The following is an 18,707-nucleotide window of genomic DNA, read 5'->3' as shown; positions in this document are numbered from 1 at the left end:
AAGAACCGCAGAAATACTGAGAAGAGAAAGATCACTTCCAGATGAGGGGCTGACGGCTAACACGATGAAAATAGAGCAAAGAACAAAAGTCATCAGGCGCAGTGGCTCACACCTGTAATCCCAGCACTTTGGGAGGCTGAGGCAGGCAGATCGCTTCAGCTCAGGAGTTCGAGACCAGCCTGGGTAACATGGCGAAATTCCACCTTTACAAAAATATACAAAAAAAATTAGCCAGGCATTGGTGGCTTGCACCTGTAGTCCCAGCTATTCAGGAGGCTGAGGCAGGAGAATCACCTGAGCCCAGGAAGTAGAGGTTGCAGTGAGCCGTGTTCACAGCATGGCAATCCAGCCCCGGCAACAAAGCAAGATCCTGTCTCAAAAAAGAAAATGAATCTCTAACCTACAAAGAATGCTCAAACAATGCTAACTTCTCACAGGTTGTCCTGACACATAATAAAATTATTATTAACAGAAGCCAACACTTATCACCTGTGGCCTAAGTGCCTATACTGTGTGCTAAGCATGCATGTGATTTTCTCCTTTTACCCCTGCAGAGCTCTGTGAGGATAAAGCAAAATGAAGACCTGTCCCCCTCAGAATAATCCTCTTCCATTAAATTCACTTCAACTCTTCTACATTCAATGATTAAAGTCAACTGTCTTTGTTCCATTCCAAAAATGTTTTCCTGTATATCTGCATATATTTTAATTATGAATCATTTTGTTCTTTAGTAATGTATCTTCTAGAAAACAAACACCCTCAAAAAACAGAGTAATGATATTAATGATAGATCCTGTCATGCTGCACACTGTGCTAGGACCCTTGTATATTTGATCTTTAATTCTTACAGACCTCCTGTATTAGTCCATTTTCATCCTACTATGAAGAAATACCTGAGACTGGGTAATTTATAAAGGAAAGAGGTTTAATGGGCTCACAGTTCCACATGGCTGGGAAGGCCTCATAATCATGGTGGAAGGTGAAGGAGGAGCAAAAGCACATCTTACATGGCAGCAGGCAACAAAGTTTGTGCAAGGGAATTGCGCCTTATAAAACCATCAGATCTCAGGAGGCTTATTCACCATCATGAGAACGGCACAGGAAAAACCTGCTGCTCATGATTCAATTACCTCCCACAGGTCCCCTCCCACAGCACATGGGGATTATCAGAGCTACAATTCAAGATGAGATTTGGGTGGGGACACAGCCAAACCATATCACCTCCTATTAGAAGGTAGCTGAGTAGGAAGGAGGAAAAAACCAACAATGGAGACATTAATTACTTTGTCCCTGTTCACAAAGCTAGTACTGAACTAAGCTAGAATTAAATTCAGTCGGGGGAAAGTCAGACCCTGAGTCCCTTTGCTCTCTTCTGTTGGGAAAAGTTGCCAGATTTTAAGTGATCTGACTCTGGCTCTGCCACCTTCTACCTGTGTCTTTAAGTAAGAGGGAAAATAACATTCACGCCAGATACTTCAAGGAATTGCAATAAAGCTCAAAATCAAATTGGAAAATGAATAGGGTAACACTTTGAACACTGGAAAATACTACGCAATTACAGAAACAATTTTTACAATTGTTCTCCAAAAGCAAGTAGGCAGAAACTCACTTCAAAAGTATTCCCCTGAACATATACAGACGGTTGATGGATTTGTAACAAAGGTACACAGTACCATGAGCAAATAAATAAACTTCATGCCCTCCTCTCTCACACTGTACAAAACTCAACTTTAAATAGATCACCGATCTTAAATGTAGAACTTCAAAAACTGTAAAACTTTTGGAAGAAAATACGTGTGAGTTTGGGCTAAGCAAAGATTTCTTAGATATGATACAAATAGCACAATGTGTAAAAGAAAAAATTGATAAATTGGACTTCATCAAAATAAAGAATTTCTGCTCTTTGAAAGGTACTACTGAGATAACAGAAGATGAACTACACAGGGAGAAAATGACTGGAGATCATATATCTGCTAAAGATTAGTACACAGAATACACAAAGAACCCTTAAAACTCAATAATGAGAAAACAATCTTCCCCTCCCTGCAAAATGGGCAAAAGAGATGAAGAGGCAATTCTCCATAGAAGATAGATGGATGGCAAATAAGTACTTGAAAAGACACTCAGCACCATTACTCATCAGGGAAATGCAAATTAAAATGACAATAAGATACAAGCAACATCTATAAGAATCATGAAAACAAAACAGAATTCCTACAACATGCTCTTTGTATAACACTGCTAGTCTGAATGCAAAAATAGTTCAGCAACTTTAGAAGAGAGTTCAGCAGTTTCTCATAGGTAAACATTCATAATCCGTAGCACCCAGCCATTGTACTCCTGGCCACCTCCTCAAATGAAGTGAAAACCTACATTCACAAAAACTGAAGGCATCCTCATAAGGTTAACAAGAACTCTGGACAGCAATACAGTGATAATTAAGCACGGAACAGGCTGCACTTCAGCCCACTTACTCGTAATCCAAAGTCACGCAGCACTAGATACTGGTCATCTGCATCCCCAACGTTCCTGCAGATAGGATTTCTGACATTAGAATCATAAGTCTTTTGTTTAAGAATTGCTTAAGGTGTTTCTCAGATCCTGAATTCCAGGGAAACTGCTGCTGCCAACTGGTTTGAAAACCCCCGACAGAGGAAAGGAATCAGCAATGCAATGCAGTTTCTTCATCTCCCTGTCCCTTCACCCCACGCTCTTCAACCCACTTAGGCCTGCTCCGAAAACCTTAACAATACCTAGCCCCAAACTCCTGCAGCAGACAATATGAGGTTTCCTCCTTCTCCTGTTTTGGCGGTCCTACGATTAAAACTCTTTCTCTGCTGCAACCCAGAGTCGCAGCACATTGACTTGGCACGTACATGGGACAGGAAACCTATGACGGTTACAAAACCCTTATGTGGACGTCTCTAGCAGCTTTATTTGTAATCTCCAAACACTAGAAACAACCCAAATGTCCCTTCAAGAGGGGAATTCATACAATGGAACTCGACGCAGTAACAAGAAGCACCAACCACTGTTACCTAGAACACAGATGCACGTGAACGACACAGTGATAAATAAAACAAGACATATGCAAGAGGCTGCATCCCATGTGACTCAATTTTCATAACATTCTGGAAAAGGCAAAACTACAGAAATGGAGAGCATGTCAGTGGCTGGTGGGGAAGCGGGCAGGGGAATACAGGGGGCTCAGGGGCCCTCCCGTGGGATGAATGCATTATGCCTTTGTCAAAACTGGCAGAGCTGTACATTAAAAAAGAATAAATTTTACTGTATGTAAATTGTACCTTTTTTTTTGAGACTGAGTTTCACTCTTCCGCCTGGGCTGGAGTGCAGTGGCACAATCTTGGCTCACTACAACTTCCACCCCCCGGGTTCACGTGATTCTTCTGCCTCAGTCTCCTGAATAGCTGGGAGTACAGGTGCCCGCCACCACACCCGGCTAATTTTTGTATTTTTAGTAGAGACGAGGTTTCGCCATGTTGGCCAGGCTGGTCAACACCCAAACCAAACTCCTGACCTCAAGTGATCCACCCACCTCGGCCTCCCAAAGTGCTGGGATTACAGGTGTGAGCCACTGTGTCCAGCCTATACCTTAATTTTTTAAGTGACTAAGAATATATTACCTGGGAATATTTCCATAGCTATCTGGGATGGGAAATGACTGAAAGAATGGCAGGCTGGTGTCTCAACTCTGGTGCACAGGTCAAGTCATTTCAAGTGAGTTCATGTTGCCTCATCTATGACGTAAGTATTCTGCACCTGTCAGACAAGTTTCTAGGTGCTGGGCTCTATGGACACATTACATCCCCATGGCAACCTGATGAAGGAGGCCTATTACTATCCCCTTTCACGGAGGAGACAGTGGAGACATGTGAAAGTGAAGTCTTTGGCCCAGGTCAGCACTGCTGGGATTTGGGGTTGGTCTGTGCAGCCCCAAAGCTAATTTTGCAAAACCGCCACACTTCAACTTCACCAAAAATAGAGTAGAGGATAAAGCAACTTTAGCCCCATAAATCTCCACTCCAGAACGATCCATGCTGTTGTTCACCTCAGTGTTTGCCCTGTCCTTCAAGGCCCACCAGATCCCAACCGTCTGCTTTGGGATGCAACTTTTCAAAAGAGCACTAAATCGTAATAATTTCATTCTGATTTCAAATGTTCTGCTTCCACAACCTCAGTGTTGCTTTGAAAAAAAACAGAAAACATTTATTGTGACATTTAATAGCCAGCGTTCACACAGGCTGATTGCTCAGTCTCCCGGTCTCTCGTTTCGCTTGCGAACGCCCAGAGGGTGAGGCACGAACTGGCTTCATGCATTTTATACTGTGCCCAGCAAAGCATCAACCGCCTGTAGCAAGTTCATAAATACCATTTCACCAGGGTGAATCGGCCACAAACAAGACAGGCCTTTATGGCCCACCTGCTGCTGGCTCCCCTTGGGCTGCCGGACACTGTGTGAATCGGGACCGACAGACCGCCAAGCGGGGCGAGGGCTCCCAAAGTCTTCCCTGCCGTGGTCTTCCCGAGCTCCTAGCATCAAAAATGTCATGATGACACCCTCAGAGAAGGGGTTGTGCCCCCTGAGGCGGGGACATGGAATGCCAGTGATCCCAAAATGCTGATTAAACCAGAATTCTGCTTAACCGACCAAGATGATTTTGTGTCTTTCGGTAAATGAGGTTTAGCAAGAACTGGGAGGAACCCGCATCTGCTATCAGTCCTGGGTGACAGAACAAAGACAGGACAGAGAGAACGGAATTCAGAAGAAACATGAGGAGAGGCACGTCTTACACTGTGGGTCCACCTGTTCTCCTGAAGGGCCGGGTTTCCTCTCCTTCTCCACTCTCCCCTGTGGCTGACTCAGTCTTTCTTTGCTCTTCTCAAGCCTGACCCCCACCCCTCCCATCTCATGTCACCACCTCCTTCAGAGAAAAACAAAAGCCACCACAAGAAAGGAACTCGCTAAGCTTCCAACCACCCAAACCAAACACAAGACTCCAGCTCCCAACCTCTGCCCCTGCCTTGGGTTTTCGGGGCACCTGCCTGCCCTGTGGGGCTCCAACCTCTTCCCCTGCTGTCTGCTCAAGGCCCTCCTGCCCTTTGTCCTCTCTCTCTCCTCAGAGCCTTCAGTTCTCACCCCTCTGCCTCCTGCTTTCTATCATGAAGCCCACACCAGCCTCTCACCCGGAAAAGCAGCCCCAGGCCCTGCGAGCCTCTGCTCCATCGGACAATACCCCACAGTGTGGGCAAGGCCTGCGTCCACTTCCCACACGACCCCTCCTCACTCCCACTGCAGCCTGACTCCGGCCCGCACCACAGCTCTGTTCCTGCCAAGGCCACGATGACTTCAGGCTGTTCTCAAGTGGCCTTTCTGATGACACTTTGGCCACCTCACCTCTGGGGCACGCGTGGCCCTCACTCCCAGGGTGGCCACCTGCCTCTCCACCCTCCTTCCAGCTCCCTGCGCAGGGCCCTGCTCCCCCAGCCCCTTGCCTGTGGGTTCCTCGGGGTCCCTCCACATATCCCACAAGGGACCTCACCTCCTGCCATGCCAATGACTCCCAATTCTGATCCATCTCCAGGGCTCCCCTTCCTCCTGAGCCCAACACCCACACCCCACACCCACCGGGGTCCACCCTGGCTGACCCTAGACATTGCAAACTCCCCCTGCCTTGGTGGAAGCCACCGCTGCCTCGCCTTCCCTAGGGATTCCAGTGCCAGGCGCTGCACCGCCAAGCCCCAGCTGCATGCCACAGGCCTGGGCATCACACCGGGTGTTCTCTCTTCCTCACAGCCCCCTTCTAGGCAGCGACAGAGCCCTCGGTTCAGGCTGTTAACTCCCCCCGGAACAAACAGCACCTGGGCCGCACGGCTACTGCCTCCCATTGGCTTTGCTGCCACAGCCTCCTACCCGCCCTCCCTGCCTCCACGCTGACCCCTCAAGGACACTCCTCACTGGGCAGCCAGAGCAGCCTTCTGAAAATGCAAATGGAATTTAGATACTGTGGCAACGTCCCCTGCTCATGGGACACAGGGAACCTATCCCACACCCATGGAGGGCCATGGGCTCTGGCCCCACCACCCCAGACTCACCCTTGGTACCTGCAGGACTCTCTCCCACCAAGCCGAGCCTCTTCCAGTTTCCCAGGTGGGCCAGGCCCCTCTGCCAGCTCAGAGGCTTGAGCACATGCTATTCCCTCTTCTGGAGTCACTGCTCTGCCGCCCCACCCAAGTCCACCCCAAACACACAGTTAGACTCTGGTACCCCTCAGTCCTTAGCTTAGACATCATTTCGTCCAGGACACACAGGTGCCAGGTTAGGAATCAGATATGGTTTGGATGTGTGTCCTCTCCATCTCTCATGCTGAAACGTGATCCCCAGTGTTGGAGGTGGGGACAGTGGGAGGTGTCTGGGTCATAGGGGAGGGTTTCAGATGAATGGCTTGATACCTTCCTCGCAGTAACCAGTGAGTTCCCGCTCTATTAGTTCACGTGAGAGCTGGCGGTTTAAGACAATGGCACCTCCCTGCGCTCTCTCTTGTTCCCTCTCTTGCCATGTGACACGCCTGCTCCCCCTTCACCTTCTGTCATGAGCAGAAGCTTCTGGAAGCCCTCACCAGAAGCAGATGACTGCACTATGCTTCCTGTGCACCCTGCAGAACCGGGGCCAAAATAAACCTCTTTTCTCTATAAGTTACCCAGGCTTGGGTATCCTTTATAGCAACGCAAAAGAGATGAATACAGCATCTAGAGACATTCCTATTTGGACTGCAATGGAAGGTCAATTTGTCCGTATTCCCCATAGACAATAAGCTCCTCACAGGTAAGGACAGAGACTATTTCAGTCTGCTTTGTCTCCTTCTGTCCTCACAGAGGACATTGGGAAGTCGACCCTCCATGACTCCCAAACTGACTGCAAACTTCATATATAGTCGTGACCTCTTTATTTTCAAGAAGCATTCCTCTCTCTGCATTCAGCCACAGAAATCACCTCCTTAACTAAGGGAAAAAGTTGTCTTCCCCATCCAGTTTGATTAGCCAGACAAGGACAAGATGCAAAGGGAACTCAGATTCCTTCCTACCACAGGCTCTGGCTTTCCTTGGCAGGAGGGTTCCATTACCCACTATTGTAAGAGCCACACCTAGCTTGATTCATTTCTAATATTGGTTATTTGTCAGAGTTTCAAGTGTTTTGGATTCTGCTTGTGCTTGCAGGAAAAACCTTCAGTTTCCTCTGTGGAGTCTGGCTGCTTCACTAAATTCAGGTCTCTTTCGAGTGGAAACAGCTCCTGCCTCAATAGCTTGTCAAGACACAGAGCACCCAACAGACGAAGCAGGGGACATCTGCCCTGTGGATAGATGGTGCTGCGTGGAATCTTATCTGCCGAAAGACACCTCCAAAAATAAAAATCTATGAATGCATGTGGGGGACCCTAACCAGCACCATCAAAGGAAGGCAGCACCATGGTAGACAAGGTCAGGGCTCTGGGGTGCTGTCCGGGCTCCTCCATCACTCGCTATGTGAATTTGGGAAGGTAGCATTTCCTATCGGGCTTCTCATGGGCAAAACAGTGGTGATCAACAGGGCCTGCCTCAAGGGGCTGTGGGAGAATGGAATGACGTGTTGTGCATGTGATAAGCTCGACTCATTGCTCCTGCTCAACAGACGTTGGCCACAGCTACCAGCAGCAGTGGCGGCAGGACAGCGTGTGGACCCATGCACGTGTTGACATGGAAAACCTCCTCAGCGTGCACATCTCTCAAACCTGAATCTTCATTCGGTGCAAACTTCCATTTGTAAAGTGCCATCTTCATTGTGGCAAATACTGAGTAGAATCAGTTCCCAAATCACAAAAAAGATCAGGGTGATAGAAATTGAGGACATTGAAGATTTTTCCTGTTTTTGTTTGCCTTTTGTTATTTTTGTAAATCAGTGAAGATCTTTATTTAAATAAAACTGTGCTCAGAATGTGCAAAGCTGTTTTGAATTGTGGGTGAGAGGCCAGGATGCCAGTCCCTCAGCAGGTATCTGCTCCACGGTGCCTCCCAGGCACTGGCAAGGTTCCCTGCAGCAGAGCGGGATAATCACTAATCAGTTCACTGGGGGTGAGGGACGAAAGTGGGAAGGAGGACAAAGTCCGTGGGATGTCCCCAAAAGACAGAGCTGAGTTTGGAGTGAGGCCCACTTATGCTCCCCAACCCCAGAGGTATGAACCATGGACCATGAAACTGTACGAATACACCATTATGGCCTGGCCCAGCCAAGAACAGAGAAGAGTACTCTATACACAATTTAGAGGAAGTCACTGATTTTAGCTTTCTTTACTCTTCGCCTGTTCATTAAGTTATAAGTGAACTTACCAAATAAATGTTTGCTATTTAAGCAAGTAATTTCTTCAGATTTTATTTTAAACTTAGGTAAAATAACTTAATGGCAGTTTAAGTCCTGGCTTATGTTATTCTATCAACTTGGTAAAGCTTTCGTCTGTCCACCAGTGGGGGGACGGTCTGATTCTACCTGCATTTAGTCCTCGGACCAATCAACACGTGTGCAGGACCCACTGACACACCAAGAACACATACCTGGGTCCCATGCACACTCAGGCATGAGAGAGGCCTAAGGAGAAACTGAAATTACCACCAAATGCATAAGGGCTCCCAACCATTCATTGAGCACTGATGGAAAGCCAGCAAGCCACAGAAAGATAACACAAACAAAATCAGAGAGAATCACAGCCAGTGGTAAAACTATTTCTATTTATATTAAGACAGGCAGGCTGCTGAGTGTCCCTCTTAAGATTTGGTTCACCTCTTAATATCCAGGCAATCAGGAACTCATCGTATTCAGCAATCACAACTCTTGGGAGGGAAACTGAGGTCAAAACTGAACCAAAAGGACAAGAACACACTGAAACCAAAGCTTTAGAGGGAAAAGAAGAAACAGGAAAGGGCAGAAGAGGCTAAAAGTTTTCTAATTGCTGAAATACTTCAGGTTAAAGAAATAAAATAATTTTTTTTTTCTCCTTTCTGAGATAGAGTCTCACTCTGTTGCCCAGGCTGGAGTGTAATGGTGTAATCTTGGCTCACTGCAACCTCCACCTCCCAGGTTCAAGCAATTCTCCTGTCTCAGCCTCCTGAGTAGCTAGAATTACAGGTGTGTGCCACCATGCCCAGCTAATTTTTGTATTTTTAGTAGAGACGGGGTTTCACCATGTTGGCCAGGCTGGTGTTGAACTCCTGACCTCGTGATCCACCTGTCTTGGCCTCCCAAAGTGCTGAGATTACAGGGGTGAGCCACCATGCCCGGCCCAGAAATAAATTTTATACTCGTCTCTAAGCAAATGTAATTGTCCCAGATCTCATGAGAATGCCAACTTAATCCAAACTGAAAAATAAAACAATAAATGCACTTTCCATCTAGTATCAGCTTAAGGTTGTAAGTGTCTCTCTGGCTAAAAATATTACTGATGATGATGATTAATAGATGCTATTTTAGAATAAAGTTCAGGCTACATTATTCAGTATAATTATTTTAATTAAATCCATTAGCATATCTTTATATAAGATTAGAAGAGTTATGGGTGATACAAAATAAGTTTTTCTTGAATAATGTATGAAGCAATTATTAATTTACATATTTCTCAAGAAAACGCACATTAAAATGATTCCACTTGGAGGTTTTGAGCTAAAATATATATGGTCCACAAATCCTCCTTTTAGACTTAAGTGTTCTGTCTTTGGAAGATTTGGGGAAGAGCCAAACAGCCTCCGGAAAAACAGATAAACTTGATAGGGGAAAATGCACCAAGACCAGTTCTGCCAATTGGTGCCCCTCGACCCACTCTGCGGACTTGATCAAACAGGACAGATGGCTGGACGTGATGGTCGGAGGCGGCTGAAGAAAGGAAATCCACAGCACTTTGAAGACACTCAAGGAGGCATCTCTATGGTGTGTGTGACAGCAGTCCAGAACAAAAAGAAAGACGATGGCAACAATTGCTTCAATCCCTTATATCTTATTAAATTAGGACTGCCTACATCTTATGTATTTTAAATCCAAAAATACTTTTTGTAATCAATTCTCTTTGTAATCAGCTTCCTTAAAGCTGATTCTGGTTTTTCAGATAGCATTCCCCATCTCTACCACCAATGCTTCGGTTCACTCAATCCCAAATGTCAATTTAACGCCTGAGGGACGTTGTTCCCACAAGTATCTGCGTGTTTCTGTATCACAAAGCCCAAACTGAAAAAAGTACAAACTTCCTGAGATTCTTCAGTGAATCCAGTTCAAGTTCCTACACAAATCAATTTGTTATGCCTTCCTTGAAGCATATCGATGATGAGGAACGGGTCTCCTGGGTTTCTCAGGGAGAGGGATATTGATACTGTCTTCACTGTGCAGGACTGCTCTCAGCATCTCTGGATCCTGTCCATTAATTGCTCACACACACACACACACACACACACACACAGCTTCCTGGCCCACGTGGTTGTGTCACAGATGGGTGCCTGGCACACAAAATTCCTCGGCCTTTGGGTCAGCCCAGCAAGAGCTGGGCCATGGCTCCTCTCTGGCCACAGGTAGCTGTGCCATGCAGCAATGACCGTTTTCTCTGCCTTCAGCCTTGGCTAAGTAAATCCCCTGCACTTCTCTCCCATATCCCTTCTCTAACAGTAGTCAGAATCACTGTTCAAATGAGCAACCGAAGCCTGCACCTGACTCATCCTTATTTCCCCAAAGCTAGGCACACAGGAGAACAGAAGAAAATGTGGTCAAGGATGGAATAATCTATAAAAGAACAGGAAGGGTCAGAGTAGAAGCCACCAGGACTCAGGGCATCAGGATAGGGCTACAGTGATGCCTTGCAGATGACTAGCTAGGCAGCAGAAACCACGTAGCAAAAAGCACGAGGCGTGAAAAAGAGAAAGACTTAGCCAACCTCAGCACAGACAGCAAGAACACCCTCTTCTGCTCTCTGCTCTGGAGCCAGGGTGCTCTCCTTAACCTCCCACAATCCACTTGCCAGGAATTAAGTCATTCTAAATAGGAGCATTACCGTAATCTAGGCAAGAACAAATTTGAATTAAATTACTGAAGTATTCTTTTTGTTTTTTCACTTGATACCAGCACAGTCATCTAGCTAAAGTGGCTCATGGAGAGGGCAGAGAGCCTTGGAAGAGGCCTCCATAGCCCCCAAATTGGTGAAAACTGGTCACCTGTCTAGACAGCTTCCAGGAGGCAAAGCGTGACTTCCAAATGATGGAGACTTTCTGAAAAACACTTAAAATTCAGAAGTCGACAGACAGGAAAACGGTCCAGTTCCACAGTATCTTAAGGGTCTGAACTGCAGGAAAATAGTTTTGCAAACAGTGAGTGGGGAATGAAGCACATCACACTTGTGTTTTATTCATGGTCTGAATAATCTGACAAAATGGAGCCCTTCGGGAACAGAAGTGGGTAGAAGATAAGTGTGTGCAGGACAGCAGAGGAAGAAAGATGCAGGAACGAGGCAAAATGGCGCAGAATATTCTGCCTGTCCAGCGTGCACCCGTCCACCCTCAACCACCCTCCAGCTGCCTCGCTGTCCCAGGCTCTAGCCCACCCTACCAATACTCAGACTCACTGCCATCGAGGATGGCCAGGGTACACAGACACTCACAGGTAGAGGGAGCAGGACAGGGGAAGGGAAGGCTTTGGGGTAGAGCAAAAAGTGAATGCAGAGTGGAGCTCAAGCCCCTGGCTCCCCACCCGCAGGCATACCCCTTCCACTCCCATATGCAGTGCATGGAATTGTGACCCTGCCAAAAAAATTTCAAGACCTAACCTGTGTAATATCATTTAAATATCTGTCCCCTCCAAAATTCAAGTTGAAATTTAATCGACATTGACATTGTAACAGTTATTAAGATGTGGGATTTTTTGTTTGTTTTTCTGTTTTTGAGACAGGTTCTCACTCCGTCGCCCAGGCTGGAGTGCTGCGGAATGATCACAACTCACTGCAGCCTCTACCTCCTGGGGACAAGTGATACTCCCACCTCAGCCTCCCATGTAGCTGGGACTACAGGCAGGCAAAGAGGTAGGAACTTTAGGAATAATGTGATTAGGCCATGAGGACTCAGCCACATAGGGAGGACTGGGTCATTGTAAAAGGGAGAGTTTGGCACCCTCTCATCCTCTCTCACACTCTCACCTTCTGCCATGGGATGACCAGGCAAGAAGGCCCTTAATGCTAGCACCTTGACCTTGGACTTGCCAGCCTCCAGAACTGCAAGCCAGTAAACTGCTGTTCATTATAAATTACTCAGGTATTTTACCGAGTCTCAGGTATTTTGTTATAGCAGCACAAAATGGACTAGGACATTCTGGTGCCTGTGAATACAAATGAACTTAGAAACAGAATCTTTGCAGATAAACTCCAATTAGAATTACAGTGGGCCCTAAATCCAATGATGACTATCTTTATAAGAAAAAAAAAAAGGCCATGGGTGCGATGGCTCACACCTGTAATCCCAGCACTTTGGAAGGCTGAGGCAGGAGGATCGCTTGAGCTCAGGAGTTCAAGACCAGCCAAGGCAACATAGCGAAACCCAGTCTCTACCAAAAATACAAAATATTAGGTGGGCGCAATGGCACGCGTCTGTGATCCCAGCTACTTGGGAGGCTGAGGTAGGACGATTACTTGACCCTGGAAGGTGGAGGTTTGCAGTAAGCTGAGATCATGCCACTGCACTCCAGCCTGGATGCCTGTGGTCCCAGCTACTCGGGAGGCTGAGGTAGGAGGATTACTTGAGCCTGGAAGGTGGAAGTTGCAGTGAGCCGAGATCACGCCACTGCACTTTAGCCGGGATGACAGAGCGAGACCCTGTCTCCAAAAAAAAAAAAAAAAAAAAGAAGAAAGAAAGAAAGAAAGAAAAGAAAGAAAGAAAGAAAGAAAAAGGAGAGGGAGATTCAGATGCAAAGCTGCACACACCACAGGAAGGCAGAGGCAGACACGAGCATGATGTAGCCACAAACCACAGCACATCGAGGACTGCCAGCAGCCCTGGACGCTGGAAGAGACCAGGAAGGATTCTGCCCTACAGCCTTCTAGAGCCTTCAGAGAGGGCACGGCCCTGGTGATGCCTTGCTCTTGGACTTCTGGCCTCCAGAACAATGAGAGAACACACTGATGTTGTTTGAAGCCCCTCGTTTGTATTGTGACAGCAGCCCTGAGGGACGAATACATCACCCCACCCCATGAGACACTTAAAGCAAGGATTCTCCCATGACCTGGGGAAAGACTAGGATTTCCTTCCATTTTCATTCTGTTTCTGACCAATACCTTTGTAAATTGTAATAAAAATGAATGTCTGCCGGGCGCGGTGGCTCACGCCTGTAATCCCAGCACCTTGGGAGACTGAGGCAGGCGGATCACTTGAAGTCAGGAGTTCAAGACTAGCCTGGCAACATGGTGAAACCCTGTCTCTATTAAAAATACAAAAAAATTATCCAGGCGTGGTGGTGGGTACCAAGTCCCAGCTACTTGGGAGGCTGAGGTAGGAGAACTGCTCGATCCTCAGTCTCAAAAAAAAAAGAATGCCTAGAAAACCAAAAAGCCACTTGGATGACAGAGCAGCATGGGATGTCAAGGTTCCTCAACTTTTCCTCCCAGTGTCTGTCCTCTTCTCGCCATGGAGAAGCAATCGGACCCATGTGTGGCACAACCCTCACTCTCCTGCCCTGAGTGGCACAGAGGGCGGCCAGTGCCAGGCCCGTGGTGGGCACACAGGGAGGCTGGGGCCCTGTGGCGGGAGCGATGCCTTGCTGAGCGATGACAGAGCCAGGACTACAATGACACCTTTCCAGGATCAAATCCTGACCTCTCCTCCCCGATCCAGCTCATCCTCCTCTGTGCACTGGGCACCTTCTCAGCTCCCAGCACTACTGCTATGGCCACTCCTGTGTCTACGGTCCAGCCAGACCTGACCAGCAGAACTTTCCGCAGTGATGGGACTATTCTACAGCAGCTCTGGCCAGTACAGTCACCACTGGGCACAGGTGTCCATCAGGCACTTGAAATACAGGTAGGGTGACTGAGAAATGGAACATTTAGCTGTATTTTATTTGAATTTCAATAGGGCAGTACAAATCTAGACGATATACTATGGCAGCATCCCTAAGTCTGCTCTTTTTATCCTGAAATTCATCCCGGCCCTCAGGTTCCCCGGTACCAACTTGTCATGCTTTCTCCCAGAGGATGTACCCTGTAAGCATGAATGGGCCCCCACAGGGCAGGGGTCTATAGAGCATGCAGTCGGTGCACAGGAGCTTCCCTGAGAACAGGGTCTGTGTGTTTTTGGTCACTCTGAGACTCTTCACCATCCTAGGTCTTACGACTTAGTCAGCTGATTTTGCTTTCTTCAATTACGAATGCTGCATTTTGACACGCTCTTCTCTGGGAAGGGACACAGATTTATGGTGATTTCTGAAATCTCAAGACGGATTTGCTGTCCTGTGATTCTGACCTCAAGCATTCCCCTTCTCCCTCCCTCTAAACAACGCTCTCTCCTGCTCAGGAGCAAACACAGCATGAGCTTTGATTCCTTGGACCTTGATCCCCAGTGAAGATCTCAGAGATCTGAAAACGTGAAAGATAGCACCTGTGTTCAACCTACAGCTAAAGGCACAATTCAAAAAGGAAAGAGGGAAAGCGATCCAGACCAACCTTCACAACTCACTGAAGTAATGCAGGAGAGGTCCATGTAGATAGAGCAATAAAACGAATATCCTTTCTTCAGTCAACTCAACAGAAACAGACCCAGCAGTTTCACTCCTCGATGTATACCCAAAAGAATTAAAAATAGACGTTCAGGCTGGGCGCAGTGGCTCACGCCTGTAATCCCAGCACTTTGGGAGGCCAAGTCGGGCGGATCGCGAGGTCAGGAGATCGAGACCATCCTGGCTAACATGGTGAAACCCCGTCTCTACTAAAAATGCAAAAAAAATTAGCCAGGTGCGGTGGCGGGCACCTGTAGTCCCAGCTACTCGGGAGGCTGAGGCAGGAGAATGGTGTGAACCCAGGAGGCAGAGCTTGCAGTGAGCCGAGATCACACTACTGCACTCCAGCCTGGGCAACAGAATGAGACTCCGTCTCAAAAAAAAAAAAAAAACCAAATAGACGTTCAAACAGAAGCCTGTACAGGAATGCTCATAGCAGCTCTATACGCTACAGCCAAAAGGTGAAGTAAGCCAGGTGTGCATCCAGAGATAAATGGATAAACACCTGTGGTCTGTCCATACAATGGAATACTACCGAGCCATGAACAGTAATGGGGTGCCAACACATGGATGAACCCTGAGAATATACTAAGTAAAAGAAGCCATATACCAAAAAAAGCCACATATTCTATAGTGCCATTTATATGAAATACGCAGAAGAAGCTAATCGTAGAGACAGAAAACAAATTCGTGGTTGCCAGGCAGTGTGAAGGGGGAAACAGAGTGACTGTAACGGCTGTGGGGTTTCCTTCTGGGGTGACGGAAATGATCTAGAACTACCTAGTGGTGATGTACTGTAAATGTACCCCATGCCACTGAATTGTTCGTGTTAAGATGGTTAAAAGGATTAACTTTATGTTATATGTATTTTACCGCAATTAAGAAATAAATTATTAACAGGAAAAAAAAAAAGTCCCATTCTCCACTGGAAAATGACACTTCTTGGAATAGTCACCGGGTGACCTTTGCATACTGATAGCAAGTCACCGTCTGTCACTCACACTGCAGCAGACCATGTGACTGATCCACACAATGGTCTCCAGCGGCGACCGACAAACACCTGGGAACCATGATGGAGCCTCAGTCTATGTTAACACGGCCCTGAAATTAGTCACCTTCTTAATGAGTTCCGGTGCCACTGCCTGGTACCCAGGAACAGCCATGTCTTGCCAAATGCAAGCCACTATCAGTGCCAGTGCCTTCATTAAGCAAGGTTTAATAGAACCTGCCCAGGAAAAAAAATCCCAGGAAGCCAGAAAGGAGAAGCATCCCAGTGTCCCGAACAGCAATCACTGTCCAGAACTGCCGCCCACACCTCCCACCCCTTAAACAAGCTCCTGCTGCTTCTCTACAGTTGCTTTTCAACAATCCTTCAGCTGTGTCTCAACAAACATTTTACATCATGTGATTTAAACATGAACATCCAAACTAATAAATGTTTTAAAAATGTGGTCAGATATGTAGGACAGGGAATTTTTATAAATGCCACCAAAAAAGAGAAAGAAAAGTTTACAGTTATGGAACTAAAAGTATTGCCACAAGTCAGACAATCTTTTCTCCTCCAAAGGAAAAGCTAGTTGGGGAAGACTAAATGGCACGGTGTCCACACGCCAGCACTGGGCAGCATCTCTCCTGGAGACAAGAGCATCCACCACCCAGGACTCGAGGGCTCACTCCATCTCCACGCCCTGCCCAGGGCCTCATTCAAACATCATCCATGGCCTGGAAAGGCAGAGCCAGCCTGAAGCCTGGACTTGGCCAGGGGCAGTGGGCAGGGGCAGCCCCCTCTCCTGGGGGAGGGAGGCTCTTTCCTATTATCTTAGGTGTGGGGGTCAGAATCCTCCGTTTTCCTGAGGTCCCCAGGAGAAGGAAGCAGTAAGTCACTGAGAGTGGAGATTGAGGCTGGAGTGAACAGCAGAATGGAAGGAAACAAAGTGGGTGCACAGGAGAAGCCAAGGAAAAAAAGAAGGAAGGGGCTAGGTGGAGGAGGCGCAAGAGGCCCGAGGGGTAGGGGGTCTGAATCCAGATGTGGGGGCCTCCAGGGAGTGGCCATGGGAAAGAGCATCAAGAAACACACAGAGAACAGGGGCAAGAAGCAAAGTCCACAGGAGAGACCAAAAGAGGCTGACCAGAGACAGAAGACAAGAAGGCCAACAGGAGCAGAGCTGAGTCACGGGAGGGGTCCAGGGACAAGGCACTCCATCAAGGGCAGTGCGGGCCACCGTGTCCAGGGCTCCATGTGTATGGGCAGGGAAAAGGATGGCAGAGCCGAGGTGACACAGGGGAGCCGCCTAGCTTCCTCAGGAGTCTGGAGGTTAGGTGCTGGTGGCTGCGGCATGGCTGCGGGTGAAGTCTGTGGGGAGTGACCGAGCTATGGATGGTCTTGGGTGTTAGGGAGAGAGGGTTCCAGACCCCTGGTGCACTAAGTAGGGAGGCTGGGGGCATTTCTCTGCAGCGGTGGGGCCGTATCACCAGGAAGCCCCTTAGACTCTGAGGGGTGCTGAACTCCTCTGGATATAACCTTCCAAATACAGGGCTTTCCCTTTCTTTTTAATCTCAGTTTTGACCACTGAGGGAGGCGCAGTCATACACCAACTGGCAACCATGGGATTCTAAGTCCCTTTCAGGCTGGGTGACTCTGAAGTGCAATACAATTAAACATGAGAATCATGAAAAGGTCAGCATAAATGCATTTAAATGGAATCCTCCCAAAACCCGGCTTCCAGTTCATTTTGAGGGGCAACATTAAAATAAATATAACATACCTTTCACATTCTCTTTCCCACATAGTTTAAACACATTGTGAGTTACTTAAAAAGCACCATAATCATTGTTATTTTCAGAGACAGTAACAGAAACAAGAGATTAATTTCAATAAAAGCAAGAGTTCAGAGACATATATCCAGGACAAACGAAACAAACACAGTTGAGGTATCTACCATGCACATAACCACTAGGCAGCTGGACAGCTTTTAATAATTTCTAAGGGTATATCTAACACAAGCACGGGAATGACATCTCTGCTTACAATCAAGAAAAAAATGGTGTTTTGTTGCAGAAGAATGTGCCTGCTTCCAAAATTGACTGAAGGCAAGAGAAAATGTCACAGAAGACGACGGTAAACAGTACAATAATAAGCGAAAAGGACAAAAGCATGCACATCCAATTTATAAAAGGTTTGGTGTTTGATGATTTCACAGTGTGCCCAAACATATGATAAAGAAAAATATGAGGCCCTTGGTGGCAGCGAACTGGTTATCAAGTTAAATAAAATTACATTTATAATTGCCACCATCAGAAGAGAAAACCTGCTGCCTTTCACTACGCATTTGTAAAAGATGATTTAGAGCAAATCAGAGAAAACTTAGCAATTAAATACGAACGCTGGCAAGAAAATAATTACATTTATTGGAAAATGAATTGAGACGATCATCAGAGAGAATTAAATAATTCAGCTGTGGAGCTTGTAAGGTCTAGAATTTGATCAATACAATTGTGTATAAAAATAAAGCTATGACAAAGGAAGTCCAGGGTGAGAGTCCCCATGTAATTCCAAGATGTGTATTTGTAGCCAAAGTTTCCTTATCTATTTAATGACCAATTAATACCAAATTATTTTGGTTCTACTTCGGGTAAATGGTCCTAAATGATGCCAATTCCTAGTTCTACAATGCTACTTACATTTCATCAGAGTAACCTCATCAAGGCTTGGCTACTACCCTAAACTGCACAGGGACACTTCAGCAAGAGTGGGGGATGTTTCTTGAGAATGGGGACTGTGGTCTAACTTTAAGGAGTCTCCCTCGCCCACCCCAGGTTAGCCGCTGACTGTTTTCTGGAAGTGCCCGCAGGACCACAATCTACCCTAAAGGCTCCGGGGACCAACACTCTACCCAATATTCTCCCCAAGATAGGTCCACAAAGCAGC

General features: G+C 46.9%; 1 protein-coding gene across 24 annotated transcripts in view; it reads right to left on the bottom strand.

The window, feature by feature from the left end:
* Window positions 1–18,707, bottom strand: part of DOCK1 (dedicator of cytokinesis 1) — a 547,089-nt gene that overhangs the window by 346,362 nt on the left and 182,020 nt on the right. Inside the window, exon 21 of one of the 24 annotated variants that reach the window (NM_001377558.1) lies at window positions 2,475–2,529. The exons of the other annotated variants lie outside the window; for them this stretch is intronic. Within the exon in view, the coding sequence (NP_001364487.1) occupies window positions 2,475–2,529 (55 nt within the window). The remainder of the gene's footprint in view (window positions 1–2,474; window positions 2,530–18,707) is intronic. 24 annotated transcript variants of the gene reach the window in all.

Source organism: Homo sapiens, chromosome 10 (assembly GCF_000001405.40).
Source record: "Homo sapiens chromosome 10, GRCh38.p14 Primary Assembly".
NCBI classification, from domain to species: Eukaryota; Metazoa; Chordata; class Mammalia; order Primates; family Hominidae; genus Homo; species Homo sapiens.
Note: the sequence above shows the minus strand (reverse complement) of the source record. Positions and strands in the feature narration are given on the sequence as shown.